Source organism: Homo sapiens, chromosome 10 (assembly GCF_000001405.40).
Source record: "Homo sapiens chromosome 10, GRCh38.p14 Primary Assembly".
NCBI lineage: Eukaryota > Metazoa > Chordata > Mammalia > Primates > Hominidae > Homo > Homo sapiens.
The window spans coordinates 13,161,289-13,176,782 of record NC_000010.11 but is presented as its reverse complement, the minus strand read 5'-3'; the positions used below and the strand labels follow the sequence as shown (position 1 = coordinate 13,176,782).

At 44.2% G+C, this 15,494-nt stretch overlaps 1 protein-coding gene across 4 annotated transcripts in view, besides 3 other annotated features; it reads right to left on the bottom strand.

Annotated features, from left to right (window-relative positions):
• Positions 1-15,225, bottom strand: part of MCM10 (minichromosome maintenance 10 replication initiation factor) — a 49,553-nt gene extending 34,328 nt beyond the window's left edge. The window contains exons 1-6 of one of the 4 annotated variants that reach the window (XM_011519538.3): positions 14,558-15,225; positions 12,574-12,655; positions 5,520-5,861; positions 4,303-4,407; positions 4,018-4,158; positions 1,102-1,273 (exon numbers count right to left, since the gene is read on the bottom strand). In XM_011519538.3, the coding sequence (XP_011517840.1) occupies positions 1,102-1,273; positions 4,018-4,158; positions 4,303-4,407; positions 5,520-5,861; positions 12,574-12,580 (767 nt within the window). In that variant the 5' untranslated portion in view covers positions 12,581-12,655; positions 14,558-15,225. The remainder of the gene's footprint in view (positions 1-1,101; positions 1,274-4,017; positions 4,159-4,302; positions 4,408-5,519; positions 5,862-12,573; positions 12,656-14,557) is intronic. The other 3 variants (XM_047425437.1, NM_182751.3, NM_018518.5) reach the window with 3 other exon arrangements.
• Positions 2,800-3,094: an enhancer, noted in NCBI's record as "tiled region #2216; HepG2 Activating DNase matched - State 5:Enh". NCBI's record gives its function as "activates a minimal TATA promoter and a strong SV40 promoter by Sharpr-MPRA in HepG2 cells {active_cell/tissue: HepG2}" and the evidence as "EXISTENCE:reporter gene assay evidence [ECO:0000049][PMID:27701403]".
• Positions 14,961-15,140: a silencer, noted in NCBI's record as "silent region_2151". NCBI's record gives its function as "represses an Ori minimal core promoter by ATAC-STARR-seq in GM12878 lymphoblastoid cells {active_cell/tissue: GM12878}" and the evidence as "EXISTENCE:reporter gene assay evidence [ECO:0000049][PMID:35858748]".
• Positions 15,163-15,476: a silencer, noted in NCBI's record as "fragment chr10:13203307-13203620 (GRCh37/hg19 assembly coordinates)". NCBI's record gives its function as "represses an EF-1alpha promoter that drives an FKBP-Casp9 reporter gene in an ReSE screen in K562 erythroleukemia cells {active_cell/tissue: K562}" and the evidence as "EXISTENCE:reporter gene assay evidence [ECO:0000049][PMID:32094911]".

The window sequence follows — 15,494 nt, the reverse complement described above, 5'->3', positions numbered from 1 at the left end:
TAGCTAGGACTACAGGTGCACACCACTGTGTCCAGCTAATTTACTTTTTGTAGAGATGAGGTCTCACTATGTTACCCCAGCTAGTCTCGAGCTCCTGACTTCAAGCAATCCTCCTGCCTTGGCCTCCCAAAGTGTTGGGATAGCAGGTGTGAGCTACCACGCCCAGCCTTATAATACACTTTTATTGTATGTTGGCAACACTTGTTCTCCTCTGCTAATAATATATACTTTAAGAGCTTAGCAGTTTTAGTTGTTGGCTGATATTTACACTGACAAGGTTTCAGAGTTTTAGAGGGTTTCACTTGGTTCCTCAAATGGACTGTGCTAAAAGCAATCCAGTCTCACAGTAAGGAGTACTGTTCTGCCCTGGGATTATCCAGATGTAATGATGGAGATGCAATGGAGTAGTGATACAGAGTATAGATAATTAAAAAAATTAAAATAAAGTTAGAAAAAAGTCCAAGATTTGAATATAGCTTTTAATTGGATTGAGCTTGGAATATATTCCTATTATAACAGGCTATCTTAAATGTATCCCTATAACAGATGCAAAGAATATAAATTTGCCTTAAAAAGACTATTAGAAAGAAAAACAGCATAGCTATTTTTCTTAACATCAACTACAAGAATCAATAGAAATAGAAAAAATGATCCTAAAATTTATACAGAACCGCAAAAGACCCAGAAGAGCCAAAGCAATCCAGTAATTGCTTAATTGCATAAATATTATCCTGGTTAAACTGTCTGTGTATTTAAAAAGTCTAAATTATACCTCAATAGAGATGGAGAAAAATTTTAAAAATCTACTATTTCCATCTGTCAATTTCTGATTAAATATACTATCATTTGTCCATTTCTTTTTATAGATACAGATTCTTTGTTGATTACATACACAAGAAAAAGTCTTTCTTAAACATTTTATATGCAACTGTACTTAGTCAAACCTAGGGCTACTGCTAGTCTTCCAGTGGTGTTTTGTCCAGTTCAAGAGCTGCTGGTGTTTTGTGGATCCTGATGTATAAACACACTACTTCTAAAGGACTCCGAGAGGCACAAAAAGCTATGCCGTGGCGCACATGAATAGATGGTTTAGCTACTGACCTGAGCCGCAGACCAGAGAAGGCTTCCACACAGATGGGTTGAGTCGTTTCCCCAGAACTTCCTGGGGTCCCCACAATTTGACCTCTAGTTATCCCACTAGGTTTGTTCCGAGAAATCGTCTGTAGGGGTTGGGAGGGTGCACTTGTCATCCTTGAAGATGAGCTTTTGGGATCTAGAAAATTAACACAATTAATGAAAAGGCAACCACACTGATAATCACGAACGGAATTTGGAAATTTGTTTTTACGGATTTGTTCCTTTGAGATAGGGACTCACTGTGTCACCCAGGCAGGAGTGCAATGGTGGCGTGATCTGGGATCACTGCAACCTCCATCTCCTGGGTTTAAGCGATTTCTGAGTAGCTGGGAACACAGGTATGTGCCACCATGCTCGGCTAATTTTTGTATTTTTTGTAGAGACGGGTTTTGCCATGTTGCCCAGGCTGGTCTCAAACCCCTGAGCCCAAGCAATCCACCCACCTAGGCCTCCCAAAGTGCTGGGATTACAGGCGTGAGACATTGCACACGCACACAGTCCGAACTGTTCCTTTTTTTTTTTGAGATGGAGTTTCACTCTTGTTGCCCAGAGTGCAGTGGTGCGATCTCAGCTCACCACAACCTCCGCCTCCAGGGTTCAAGCAATTCTCCTGCCTCAGCCTCCCAAGTAGCTGGGATTACAGGCATGCGCCACCACGTCCGGCTAATTTTGTATTTTTAGTAGGGATGGGGTTTCTCCATGTTGGTCAGGCTGGTCTCGAACTCCCGACCTCAGGTGATCCGCCTGCCTCAGCCTCCTAAAGTGCTGGGATTACAGGCATGAACCACCGCCCCCGGCCAGGATTGTCCCTTTTTTAAAGCAACACATGCAATAATCAAATCTTGGGAACAAAGCATGCCCCACAAGACCATTTCTTGGACTTACAGTCCAATAGAACTTTCTCTGATGATAATAATGTTGTACATTGGTGCTGTCCAATAGGGTGCTAGCTACCAGACACATGTGACCATCAGTCACTTAAATGTGACCCTGTGCTTTTAAGGAAATACATTTCTAACTAAATTTAATCTAATTTTAACTTAAATATCCACAGGTGGCTAGTGGCTACTGTACTAGATAGTTCCACTCTATAATACTGATTCTCTATGCAATGATGTTTACTGAATATTCATCAAGATACAGAGCACTGGCGCAGATTATCAAAGGGAGGACAAGACCTCCTTCAGAATGAGTAATTAGTGGAGATTTATGTACAGTTCAAATTCTACTTTAAGAATCTGTAATCCCAGCACTTTGGGTGGCTGAAGTGGGCAGATCACTTCAGGTCAAGAGTTCAAGATCAGCCTGGCCCATCATGATGAAACCCTGTCTCTACTAAAAATACAACATTAGCTGGGCATGGTGGGGCATGCTACTCCAGAGGCTGAGGCAGGAGAATCACTTGAACCCAGAAGGTGGAGGTTGCAGTGAGCCCAGATCATCCCACTGCACTCCAACCTGGGTGACAGAGTGAGACTCTGTCTCAAAAAAAAAAAAAAAAAAAAAAAAAATCCAAAACTAGCTCCCCTTTTCTTCTTTCTTGTTTCATTTCATTCCATTCCATTTTATTTGTGGGACCAAGGAAAGTTAGGGGTCTGGTATTCTATTTACTATTGCTTCATTAAATATCCCTGATGGAGTTACTTTTCATATTTTAGAAGTGTTTGATAATTCTCCTGAAAGTCAGATGCTTGGGTATTTTCCTTAATAAAATATCACTCTCTCTTTCATAAGATTGTTGTTTGCCCTCAAAGGGACTTTGGATCACTGCTCTCACACTGGGGGCCAGGGTGACCCTAGAACTTTAGAACCTAGAGGCCAGGCCCATTCCCCACCCCTTAAAACCAAACTTTGGACATTACCTAATGCAACACCCTAGTAATGCCAAAGGTCCTGAGGGGATGGATGCTACTCCTGAATGGATATCTGAATATATAACTTGCTGTCAGATTAATGTGAACACTCAGGCGGAAGTAGTTCTCTACGACTGTGGCACAGACCCATGCTATTCAAAGGGGCTTTTCCAAACACGTGCAGCCAATAAAATGCTGTGTCCTCCAACCCATGTTTTATCAGGCCCATCTTGTCTTAGGTCTCCCGGCAATAAAAGAAAAGCAATACATAGGGCAGAAAGCCTTTTCACTGCTGTTTTGTGCATATACATGTGTGTGCTGAACTAGGACTGTATTTGAATACCATCCTCTACTAGTGGCAAAGAAGTCTTTTCCAGAAAACAGCCCTTTTGATTTGATACGACCTGGCTTCAAATAAAACTTGACCATTTTCTAAGGGAATAACCTCACAAGTCTAAAGCATGAGAACCTAACCAGTGGCTTTACTTACTACAGTCCAGGTAAAACTATGAGACTACAGAGCTAAAAAAAAAAATTCAACCTGTTAAGTACTTAGTAAATAGCTACTCTGTACCTAAGGATTTTCCTTTTCTCAGACAGGGTCTTACTCTGGAACAGGATGGAGTGCAGTGGTGTGATGACAGCTCACTCTAGCCTCAACCTCCTGAGCTCAAATGATCCTCCCACCTCAGCCTCTCAGGTAGCTGAGACTACAGGCAAGCAACACACCTGGCTAATTTTATTACTGTAGAGATAGGGTCTTGCTATACTACCCAGCCTGGCCTCAAACTCCTAGGATCAAGCAATCTTCCTGCCGCGTGCCTTGGCCCTAAGGATTTTCTAGGCACTTTGAGATGTAGACGAAGAACACAAAATATATCATGTGGCTTCCATTCCCAAGAAACTTTCTTTCTCAATGGGGACATAAGACAGACCAAAAGACACAGACACCCACACACACATGAACACCCCCACACACATAAACACATACAATAGTGCCAAGATACTGAGACCGCAAGTACTACACCTGGAGGTGAAGCCTTTGGTGTTCGAGCCACCCTCTTGGTTCTTGGTAGCGCAGGGACATCAAGCTCCGCAGAAAAGCATGTTGACTCCTGAATTCTCTGAACTCTCCTCTCCTTAAGAGGTGGCCGGGGAGACTTCTCTACTTAATCAAAAGTAAAATAAGTGAGTAAAAACCCATTCAGAAAGAGGTTCAAAGGGCTGTTTGGACAGGAGTTGGATGCAGAAATGATGTGATAATTTCTAATAAAATAAATGCACACGATTGCCAGAATGACAGTCTTCTTACCAGGGGATTTTTGCAGACGGGCTGGGCTTGCTGTCTGTTTAATTGTTGTTACTTTTAGCTGCTCTTGTAAGGCCTTCATTTGCTCTTGCAAATTCCTTAATTCCTCTAGGAAATGAAAATATGTTAATTTAAGAACCAGGCAGGAGAAAACGTTCTACATGACAAAAATGCGGGCAATATTTTTGTTGTCCACTCCCTGCCCCAATACCTTGAGACCCACAATATAATCACATACCCAAAGCTCATGATTAACTTTGGTACTTCAAAGAGGTCTCTTAGAGAAATACATATTTTATTTAAAGTAAACGAAGCACCCAATAATCAAACTAGTTATAAATCTTTACTATTAAGAGATATCAAATAAAATCCACAGTTAACAAGTTTTTAGGAGTTGAGAAATAATTATAGGCCAGGCATGGTGGCTCGTGCCTGTAATCACAGCATTTTGGGAGGCTGAGGCAGGAGGACGCAAGAGCCCAGCAGTTCGAGACCAGCATGGGCAACATAGGGAGATCCTGTATCTACAAAAAATAAAAAAAATAAAAAAAATTAGCTGGGCATGGTGGTGCATGCCTATGGTTCCAGCTACTAGGGAGGCTGTGGCAGGAAGATCACTTGAGCCTGGGAGGTGGAGGCTACAGTGAGCCAAGATTGCACCACTGTACTCCAGCCTGGGTGACACAGCAAGAATCTGTCTCGGAAAAAAAAAAAAATTATATTTACTTCATAAATTGGATATCATAACTAATATAATAAATGCTGGCTTCTGTATTAGAAGAAACAGCTAACCATTGAATTTTACTATAGCTTAAACATGTATGAGATGCCAGGAATGAGAAAAGAACATGTGTCAAAGCTTCTGTTCAGGAATGCTCTGCTCAAATAGATATGTGGCAGCTTTGCAACCTTGTCTCTGGCTCCACATCCACATACATCCCAAAGTGCTACTATTCCATAAGAAATATGAAAAGTTTCAGAGCCATTCCGTACAGGATCAAGTGCAGCTGGCTGACACTGATAGAGTCTATAGTTTGTGCTGAAATGCTGGCCCAAACATTTCATCTACCAACTCATATAATTTTCTTTCTTTTTTTCTTTTTTTACAAAGTCATTTATCTCTACCCTTGAATCAGCAGCTATTTTGATGACAACTATCAGATTGGTGGTCTTCATCCAACTTATCCGAAAGAAATAAGGAAGGCAAGTAGTTAGGGCACCTTGCAACTCTTCATTCGTTTTCTCTCGCCTGGGGGCAGGAGCAGGGAGGACCCTATTTTCAGTTGACTGTGATGCGGGAACTTCTTCTTCATCTGTTAAGTCCTCCATATCTCCAAAGAGAGTGGCCAGATTTTCCTTTTCGTCTCTTGTCTCTCCTGTTTCTCCATCATCAGCCTCTTCTGTATAAGATTCACCGTCGCCGTCGGCATCAAAGAGCTCATCAAATGCGTCGGGCTCGCCATTTTCCCGCGTCAAGAAGTTATTTTCTTCTGAATTACAATCCAAGGCTGACTCATTTTCTTCCAGCAGTGCGGTCAGCAGAGACAGATTGTCTTCCTCCTCTAGGGGAAAAGAAGAGAAAGGACAGAGAATAAGCACGGCTAATTCCAAACATTCAACTTTAGGCAATTTAAATGACCCCATGGGGGTAAGAGAAACTACCTAATGGGTACAATGCTCATTACCTGGGTGATGGGTTCAACCATACTCCAAACCTCAGCATCACACTATATATACATCTCTGTAACAAGCCTGAATCTAAAATGAAAGCTGAAACTAAAAAAACAAACAAACAAACAAACAAAAAAAACAAAAACCTACAGATGCACCATTTTGCCTGGTCTTTGTTCTCCTTGTCTCCATCTTTCTTGTCCCCAGGTGCTTCTTAGGGGACACTGGGCTAAGAAGGAGCCAATACTGCTTAGTGAGTAGAGTGGGCCAGCCACGGGGCCAAATGTCCTCAAGCATTCTACTCCAATCAATGAGACAGCTTCCCGCACACCGACTTCCATGAAATTCAACCAACAAGGGAATAATTTTAAAACACCAAACATAGATTTAGGCTTTAGATGTATATAATTCCTGACCTTCAAATTATTTGAGATTTAAAAAAAAAAAGATACAAACTATATAAAAAATACTAAGATCCCATCACCCAGAATTAGCCATCATTAACATTTTGTTGTTTGCTTCTTGCCTTTAACATTAAATAACACCTTCCAGATGAAGTCTGTCATGCCAAATCTTATCCCAACTCCTGACCACTGCCCCCACTTCCCATTGTAATCACTTTCATAATTTTGAGGCATCATTCCAGTCCATTCTTATGCTTTTACATAAATATATAGGCAGTCATAGTCAATCTATATTAGATGGTTTTAAAAATATTTACATAAATATTCCACACTGCATTACTCTGCATTCCAGGTTCATTCAACATTGCTTGTAAGATTAACCCAAATCAAAACATATAGTTCTAGCCAGGCGTGGTGGCTCACGCCTGTAATCCCAGCACTTGGGGAGGCCAAGGCAGGAGGATCACCTGACATCAGGAGCTCAAGACCAGCCTGGCCAAGAAAGTGAAACCCCGTCTCTACTAATAATACAAAAATTAGCTGGGCGTGGTGGCCCGTGCCTGTAATCCCAGCTATTCAGGAGGCTGAGGCAGAAGAATTGATGGAACCTGGGAGGTGGAGGTTGCAGTGAGCCGAGATCGCACCACTGCACTCCAGCCTGGGTGACAGGGCGAGACTCCATCTCAAAAACAAACAAAAAACCCCATATAGTTCTAGTTTCTTTCTTTTCGTTGCTATATTGTATCCTATAATAAGACTGTATCACACCTCATTAATCCATTTTCCAATAAAGGACAATATGGGCTATTTCTAATTTTTCCCCACTACTAAATACGCTGTAATCGTGTATCCGTCTTCTCGCACATGTGTTTCTTGGGAATATCTATCAGAAATGGAATTGCTGGATTGCTGGGTATCCACGTTTTCCAATTTTGCTAGATGCTGCCAAATTGTTCTCAAAGTGGATGCACTCTTGAAATGGCATAGTTCGTCTGGGGTAATACCTGAGGTTCGTTGTCTCATGCAAAGGAAATCAAGGATGCTGACACACAAGGAGTGAGGTTAAGTGCAGAGATTTAATAGGCAAAAGAAAGAGAAGAGCTCTCGGCAGCAGAGAGGTCCCAGAGAAATGGGTTGCCGCGTCCATGGCAAAATGCATGGGGTTTCATAGACGAGCTTGAGGACGCAATGTCTGATTTACACAGGACATAAAAGATTGGCTGGACTAGGTATGCCATTTGCATAGGGTGGAAAACCTGGCTGCCCCACCCTAATCTTTTATTATGCAGGTGGTTCTCTACCTGGCCAGCGCCATATTGTCTGTTTCTTTACTGTACACGTGGTTGACACAGAAAAAGGGCCGCCATGTTGAACACGCCTGGCCCCCAGGGAGCCTTTTCCTATTGGCACAGCTGCAGGTATTCATCCGTGCAAATTACTAGCTTGCTTTTCTATGTCCGCTTGATTTTTCTGGCTGGCCTTGTTAGAAATTACTTGGGGGCTGCTTTTTGCTAAAAGGGAAATTCTGCTGAGGACTCTGTTGCCCTTACTATCTCCCTAAATAATTGCTATCATCTGTATCACTCTCACTAGAGCTGTACACAAGGGCCACTTCTCCCCACCACCTCATCAATATCTGATGTGTCACTTAAATATTTTTTTGTCAATCTGATGGACGATTTAAAAAGGCATCTCACTGTTTTGATTTGCATTTCTTGGATTACTGGTGAGGTTAAGAATTGTTTGTTTATTTGCCAATCGGATTTCTTCTTTCTTGATTTATCTATTTTCTTTGCTCTTTTTTCCCCCCTATTTGGGCACTATTTGTTTATAAAATCAGAGGTATTCAATGGAAAAATATTAAGGATATCTGACCTACTCTCCTTGTCTGAAATTCAGGGGCTAGAGTATGAGAGGGTGAGGGGCTTGTTCAGGATCACATGGAGAAACAGATCAGTTCAGGAGCTGGGTTAATAAGGAATCTCTAGATCAGCAAACCAATATCCTTTCCACCACTCTACACTCCCTTACCAGAAGGAAAAAGCCAGTAGCCAAACTTCAGGCCTAGAATCTGATGATGGGGCCTAATGCTCAGTCAGAGGTTGTATAAGGATTAGCTTGAGTTGCTTAGTCCACAAAGACTCCAAGGCTGCACAGTGCAAGAGAGAAGAGGCCAGGCAGCCCCCTGTGCTCTGAGAATGTCACATGCCTGCAAGGAAGCAAAGAGGCCTCCACCATCTCTTGTTCCCGTCTGCCAAAGAGGGCACACCCCGGGAAGAGGCTCTGGCTCACACCACTGGGGGCCACAGGTGGAAAATGCTGCCTGGGGACCCCATACTATTCACTTTGAACCCTTCACAAGAGAACGAGGGCTAATCCCATGGTGCCTCACAACCCCGTTTACCTCAGTCACCACCAAAAATCATGTCTTCTCTGTATTACGCTGACTCAATCTCCCAGCCTCTTTGTTCTCAAACCCCTGGGATGTGAAATCTACTATCAGCACGTTTCTCGGATCCCCAGTGGCTCTTACAACAGAAATCTGGCTACCCCTGGAAGCCTCTTGAATGGAAAGCATTTAATTGTTCACACCTCACATGGCAATGTCTAGAATAGTGTTCGGCACGTATTAGGCATGCAACAAATACTTGTTGATCAACTTCAGGTTCCTGATGTCTTCTTTATCACTGTCACTTTGGAATGATTCAGTCTTTTTCCAGATCACAGCTCTCTGAAGTTCAAGACACCAGACGCTGGCATCAAGAACCCCTCATGGCACTGTCATGTGCTGATCATCATATGTGTATCATGCATGCCCCCCCCGGTCCTCCCCTCCATCTCTACTGTTATCACCCTCCTGGGGCACTTCAACCTCCGCAAGGATGATCCAGCCAACATCTTGGTCGCTGGGTTTCTCATCCACTCCCCATCTTAGCTACCCACTCCCATAGTAACTCCAACTCATCACAGCAAAGCACAACTGACCTCTGAACGTCCCTCTGTGATCCAACCTCCCATCCTTTCAGCCCGCTCACTCTAGTATTCACATCCAGCAGCTCTTCAGCTTCATCCACATGTCTAACCCATCAGCCTACCTACAATGTGTTTCCTGTCCATCACCCCCTGCCCCTAATGCCCTCCCTGTGGATCCATGTTCAACACCATCATCACTCACTGCCTTCTAAAGACTCAGCTCCCTGGCTGGTGAATGGTCCTGGAGAAAGACTCGCTACCATGCTGACTGGTCTTTTTTGTTTGTTTATTTATTTATTTATTTTTCAAGACAGGGTCACACAGGCTGGAGTGCAGTGTTGCAATCTTAGCTCACTATAGCCTCAAACTCCTGGGCTCAAGCGATCCTCTTGCCTTAGCCTCCCAAGCAGCAGGGACTAGAGGTGCACACCACCATGCCCAGCTTATTAAATATTTTTTTGTAGAAATGGGGTCTTGCCATGTTGCCCAGTCTCGTCTTGAACTCCTGGCCTCAAGCGATGCTCCTGCCTTGGCTTCCTAAAGTGCTGGGACTACAGGTATGATCAACAAGACCCTGCCTCAGTCTAACTTTAAATTTTTGCACACCCATAACAAACAAGCATTCAGCACTGCTTAAAGATTCCCACACTTCCTCAATTCATTCGCTTTCCCAGGCTCTGACCACTTCACACTGTCTCTCCTCAAACCTCCTATGCCCACTCCCCACTCTTTACTCTTAGCTGATGATATATATATATATATATATATATATATGTATGTATGTATTTTTTTTTTTTTTTGAGACAGAGTTTTGCTCTTGTTGCCCAGGCTGGAGTGCAATGGCACGATCTCGGCTCACTGCAACCTTCACCTCCCAGGTTCAAGTGATTCTCCTGCCTCAGCCTCCCGAGTAGCTGGGATTACAGGCATGTGCCACCACGCCCAGCTAATTTTGTATTTTCAGTAGAGATGGGGTTTCTCCATGTTGGTCAGGCTGGTCTCGAACTCCTGACCTCAGGTGATCCACCTGCCTTGGCCTTTCAACGTGCTGGGATTACAGGCGTGAGCCACAGCGCCCAGCCCTTGGCTTATATTTTACAGAAAAAATAGATGTAATCAGACTTCCTCATCCTTCACTCCCAACTCTGAACGTATCTTCTCTGCTTTCCCTCCTGGGACTAAGTATCTAGTGCTATTCACAGCCAATTCTTCCACTTACATTCTTACATTGGGTCCCACTTCTCAGCTTCTCAAAGACTTCATTCTACAATTACCACCTCTCTGGCTCCTGAATCCCCAGTTTCTCCCTCTCCTCTGAAGCACTCCTGTCAGCATACAAAGACATAGCAGTGTCTCCCATCTACTAACTACCCGTTTATTGTTTTGTTATCTTTCTCCCTCCACTAAAATATAAGCAGGAACATTGTTCAACAGTATATCCCAAGTACCATACAGTCTCCGATTTCCTCTACACCGGCCAAATTGTGAACCCATGCCAATCAAATGAGATTTTCTTACTAAATATTATGATTTCTTTTTCCTCTTTTTTTTTTTTTTTTTCAGATGGAGTCTTGCTCTGTCACCCAGGCTGGAGGTGCAGTAGTGGGATCTCGATGCAATGCAACCTCTGCCTCCCAGATTCAAGTGATCCTCCAGCCTCAGCCTCCTGAGTAGCTGGGATTACAGTCACATGCCACCACACCAGGTTAATTTTTGTAGTTTTAGTAGAAATGGGGTTTCACTATGTTAGCCGGGCTGGCCTCGAACTCCTGACCTCAGGTGATCCACCCACCTTGGCCTCCCAAAGTGCTGGGATTACAGGCATGAGCCACCGCACCCAGCCTAAACATTATGATTTCTTCTTTCTTGACCTATACTGTTTCCAGATAGATACTATGATTTCTTAGAGAACAGGTATCCATTCACCTCTTATTTTCATGTCAATCTGATAGCAAAAAGTGATGCTTTGTATTATATAACCTGCCCTGTAGGCAATTTGCCAATTTTAAGAAACAGGAAACTACCATGATAGCATCAGGCAATGAGTTTCACATAAGGAATAACCCCTTATCTGAGGGTTTATTTTCTGTGGTTTTGATTTTCCATGGTCACTGTGGTTGAGGACAGTACAATGGATATTTTGAGAGTGCAATAGATACTTTAGAGAGAGACCACATTCACATAACTTTTATTACAGTATATTGTCATAATTGTTCCATTTTATTATTGTTGTTCATCTCTCACTGTGCCTAATTCATAAATTATACTTTATCACACGTATGTATGTACAGGAAAAAACACAGCATGCCTAGGGTTTGGTACCATCCTGGGTTTCAGGCATCTGCTGGGAGTGTGGAAACACATCTCTCAGGGACAACGGGGGTCCACTGTGCATCACAGTGTGAGGAATTTCAAGTTTTGTTTTAAAGGGCAAAGTGTAATATGTTTGAATTTTTTAAAAAAACCCAGTTTCAGATTATGAGTTCAATTATGCAACTAGATCTCTTCACAACCAGCACAATCATTTTAATTTTTTAAAAATAGAAATGAGGTCTCACTCTATTGCCCAGGCTGGTCTTGAACTCTTGGGCTCAAGCAATCCTCCCACCCCGGCCTCCCAAAGTGTTGAGATCACAGGCGTGAGCCACTGCGTCCAGCCCAGCACAATCATTTTAGGTGATCGCTAATTAGTGCAACATCTCTTTTCTAGGTAAACATTTTGTACACATCCTTGCAAAATGAACAAAATTAGAAAGGATGATATTAATAAAAACTTAAGTCAGAGCTAGACTAATATCGCTTCAGCAGATTTCATTATCAAATGTAAACTCTGAAGTCAGACTGCCTGGTTCAAAGCCCTGCTATGCCAGCTTGAACTGTGACAAGTTACTAAACATCCCTGTTTTTCTGCCTATAAAATACGTTTGCCTGAGGACTGAATCAGTTAATTTCCACAAGGATCTTGGAGCAGTGCCTGGCCCACTGTACACCTACCAGCTATTGTAATTATGAAAGACAATCTCTGTTGCCAGAAGAAATCTCCCCTGATAAAAGCAAGTAACATTCAGTGACCTCTGTGAGATGTGAGATTGCTTCAGAACCACTAAGACAATACCTGAGGGCTGGGGAGCATTTTCACCATTTTACAGGTAGAATAAATAACAAGTCCATGGACAAAAGGTTAGTTTTCCTTGAAACAGAGTAACAGAAAACTGCCAGGTCTTACCATCCATGCTGTCAAGAGGACAGTTGTGACAGGAAACTTCGAAGGAGGCTCAGATGCCCAGATGAGCAATGTAGAATCTTGGCTGTGTGAAAGCAATATTAGAAATGTCACTTTCAATTCTTCTCTTTCTCTCACAACACACATCCAACAAACCCAGAATCCTACCACTCCTATGGGCTCTAACCTCAGAATTCATCCAGAATCTGACCATTTCTCACCTCCTCTCTCCACACCGCCAATGCCATCTCCTTCCTTGGATGTAGCAGCTCACTTTTACTTGTGTTTAAGGTTACAGAAAGTTATTGAGCTGCAGAGCAGTTTGTAAATCACACTAGATTACGTGGATGAGATAAATTATGAGGAAGAACTATTGGGGTTGGCTAGGTACAGTGGCTCAACGCCTGTAATACCAGCACTTTGGGAAGCTAAGGTGGGCGCATCACTTGAGGCCAGAAGTTTGAGACCAGCCTGGTCACATAGCAAGACCTTGTCTTTTTTAAAAATTACACACACACACACACAAATTATTGGGGTCGATCTACATTAGGCTATTCTTTCATTTTATTCACTGTAATACACCTGACATCTGCGTTATCCACGACAGCTTACTGTATGATTCTACTTAGGTGGAGCCTTAGTGACAATCAGGATTTTGATTCAATACTAGTCAGCAAAGCACAGAGAAACAGCGTAGCTAATTAAGACAAAGTTGTATCACTTTGTGCACTTCTCTTTTCATTTAAGGTTATTTTTTAAACTGCAAGTAAGAAAGTATACATTTTTCTAGGCTCTTATTTAACTTACATGTGCTCTTTGGCAAGTTCAATGTCAAGGAACTAATTACAGTGATTATGGTACTTTCTTTTCTTTTTTTAGACAGGATCTCGCTCTGTCGCTGGGGCTGGAGTGCAGTGGTGCTATTGGCTCACTACAACCTCCGCCTCCCAGGCTCCAGTGATTCTCCTGCCCCAGCCTCCCAAGTAGCTGGGATTACAAACGTGCACTACCACACCCGGCTAATTTTTGTGTTTTTTGTAGAGACAGGGTTTCGCCATGTTGCCCAGGCTGGTCTTGAACTCCTGATGTCAAGTGATCCATCAGCCTTGGACTCCCAAAGGTGCTTTTTTTTTTTTTTGAGACGGAGTCTCTGTCACCCAGGCTGGAGTGCAATGGGGCGATCTTGGCTCACTGCAAGCTCCGCCTCCCGGGTTCACGCCATTCTCCTGCCTCAGCCTCCCGAGTAGCTGGGACTACAGGCGCCCGCCACCACGCCCGGCTAATTTTTTGTATTTTTAGTAGAGATGGGGTTTCACCGTATTAGCCAGGATGGTCTCGATCTCCTGACCTGGTGATCCGTCCGCCTTGGCCTCCCAAAGCGCTGGGATTACAGGCGTGAGCCACCGCGCCTGGCCGCTTTTTAAAAATTCATTCAACCAACATTTCCACGGATCCCTCATGTGCCACACACTGTGCTATCTACTGGGGAACCTATTGGACAGTAAGCTTCCTGAGCGTTAGGAGCAAACTGTCTCGTTCAAGTCTGTAACCGGCCTTGCCTTCCCCCAAAATGAAACTGTGCACCCTCCCTCGCCCTCAAATCCACGGCCACTGACAAGTACTGTGGTCCCATCTCCAAAACACTGCTCAAATCTGCCACTTCTCTCCAACTTCACTGCCAGAACCCTAGGCCAAGCCACCGTCAACCTTTAACCCAATGACTGTGTTAGCTTTCTATGTTGGTCTCTTTGTCCCCGTGCAATCTGTTCTGCATACGACAGCCACGGTAATCTTCCCTTTCCTTAGTAACCTTTAGGAACATAAATCAGATCATGGGGGTCCCTTCATTGAAATTCTTTAATGATTTTCCATTGCCCTTAGAAAAAATCTACAAAGCCTGCGAGGCAATGATTCATATTCTCTCTCTCTTTCCAAGCTTTCTACTCCCTCACATTTTCCACAATCCACCACGTCCAATTCTACCCACCCCGACACCCATAACGATGCTCCAGCCGGGCCAGCCCGCTTCCACCTTCTGGAACACACTAAGCTGCTTTGAGGTCTCAGGCTCTGTCGAAGAAAGCTCCCCCCAGGTCCTTCTCGCCCTTCGGTCTCCACTTACTCATCTTTCTGAGACTTTCTGGACCACCCTGAGTCGTCCACTGTCGTGCATTTGTTTACTACCTGCTCGTGCCTTTAAACTGTAAGCGCTGTGAAGGCAGCGGAAATGTGATCCGAGCCATGCACACCGTCCGCATTCAATAATCATTGGCAAATCATGAATACGAGAAACCAATGAATGAATGAATGAATGAATGAATAAAAGAAAGCCCAGGCGGCAGGCACTTGGCAAGCACTTAAAAGGCTGCGTTTAAAAGGAAGAACCCGATTCCTTAGTAGACGGCCAGCAACTCCCAGCCCCCGGCCCGGCCATGCCAGCTCCGAGCGGTCCCAAGCTGCCGCCAAATCCAGATCGCGCCCACCCGAGCTCCCGGGACCCCGCGCCTCTAGCCTCGGACCCCTTGCAACCCGCGCAGAGACGTGCGAGGCGGCCCCGGCCCCGCCGCCCGAGGGTCACACGCACGCCCGGGGCCCGCGCTCCTCACCCGATGCCGGGACGCCTTCTTCGTTCACAGCTGAACCCGCCAAAATTCCAACCGGATCCCGCCCCTGCCTTGACGTCAGACGCACGCGGCTGTGGGGCAGCACTGACTGGCTACGCCAGCGAATCCCGGCCCTGGCACAGAGCAATCGGATTGGTTTACGTCATTGGACGCCCTCTTTGTTGGGGGCAAGGGACCTTCCTGTCGGTAGAAGCCAGTCTCCTTTAGGTAAAATAGAGTGTCTGGCGCCCCCTGGTGCCGGGAAGTTTAAGTCATCCCACCCAGTATTTTCCCTGCGGTCCCATCCCACCTCAACTCCTG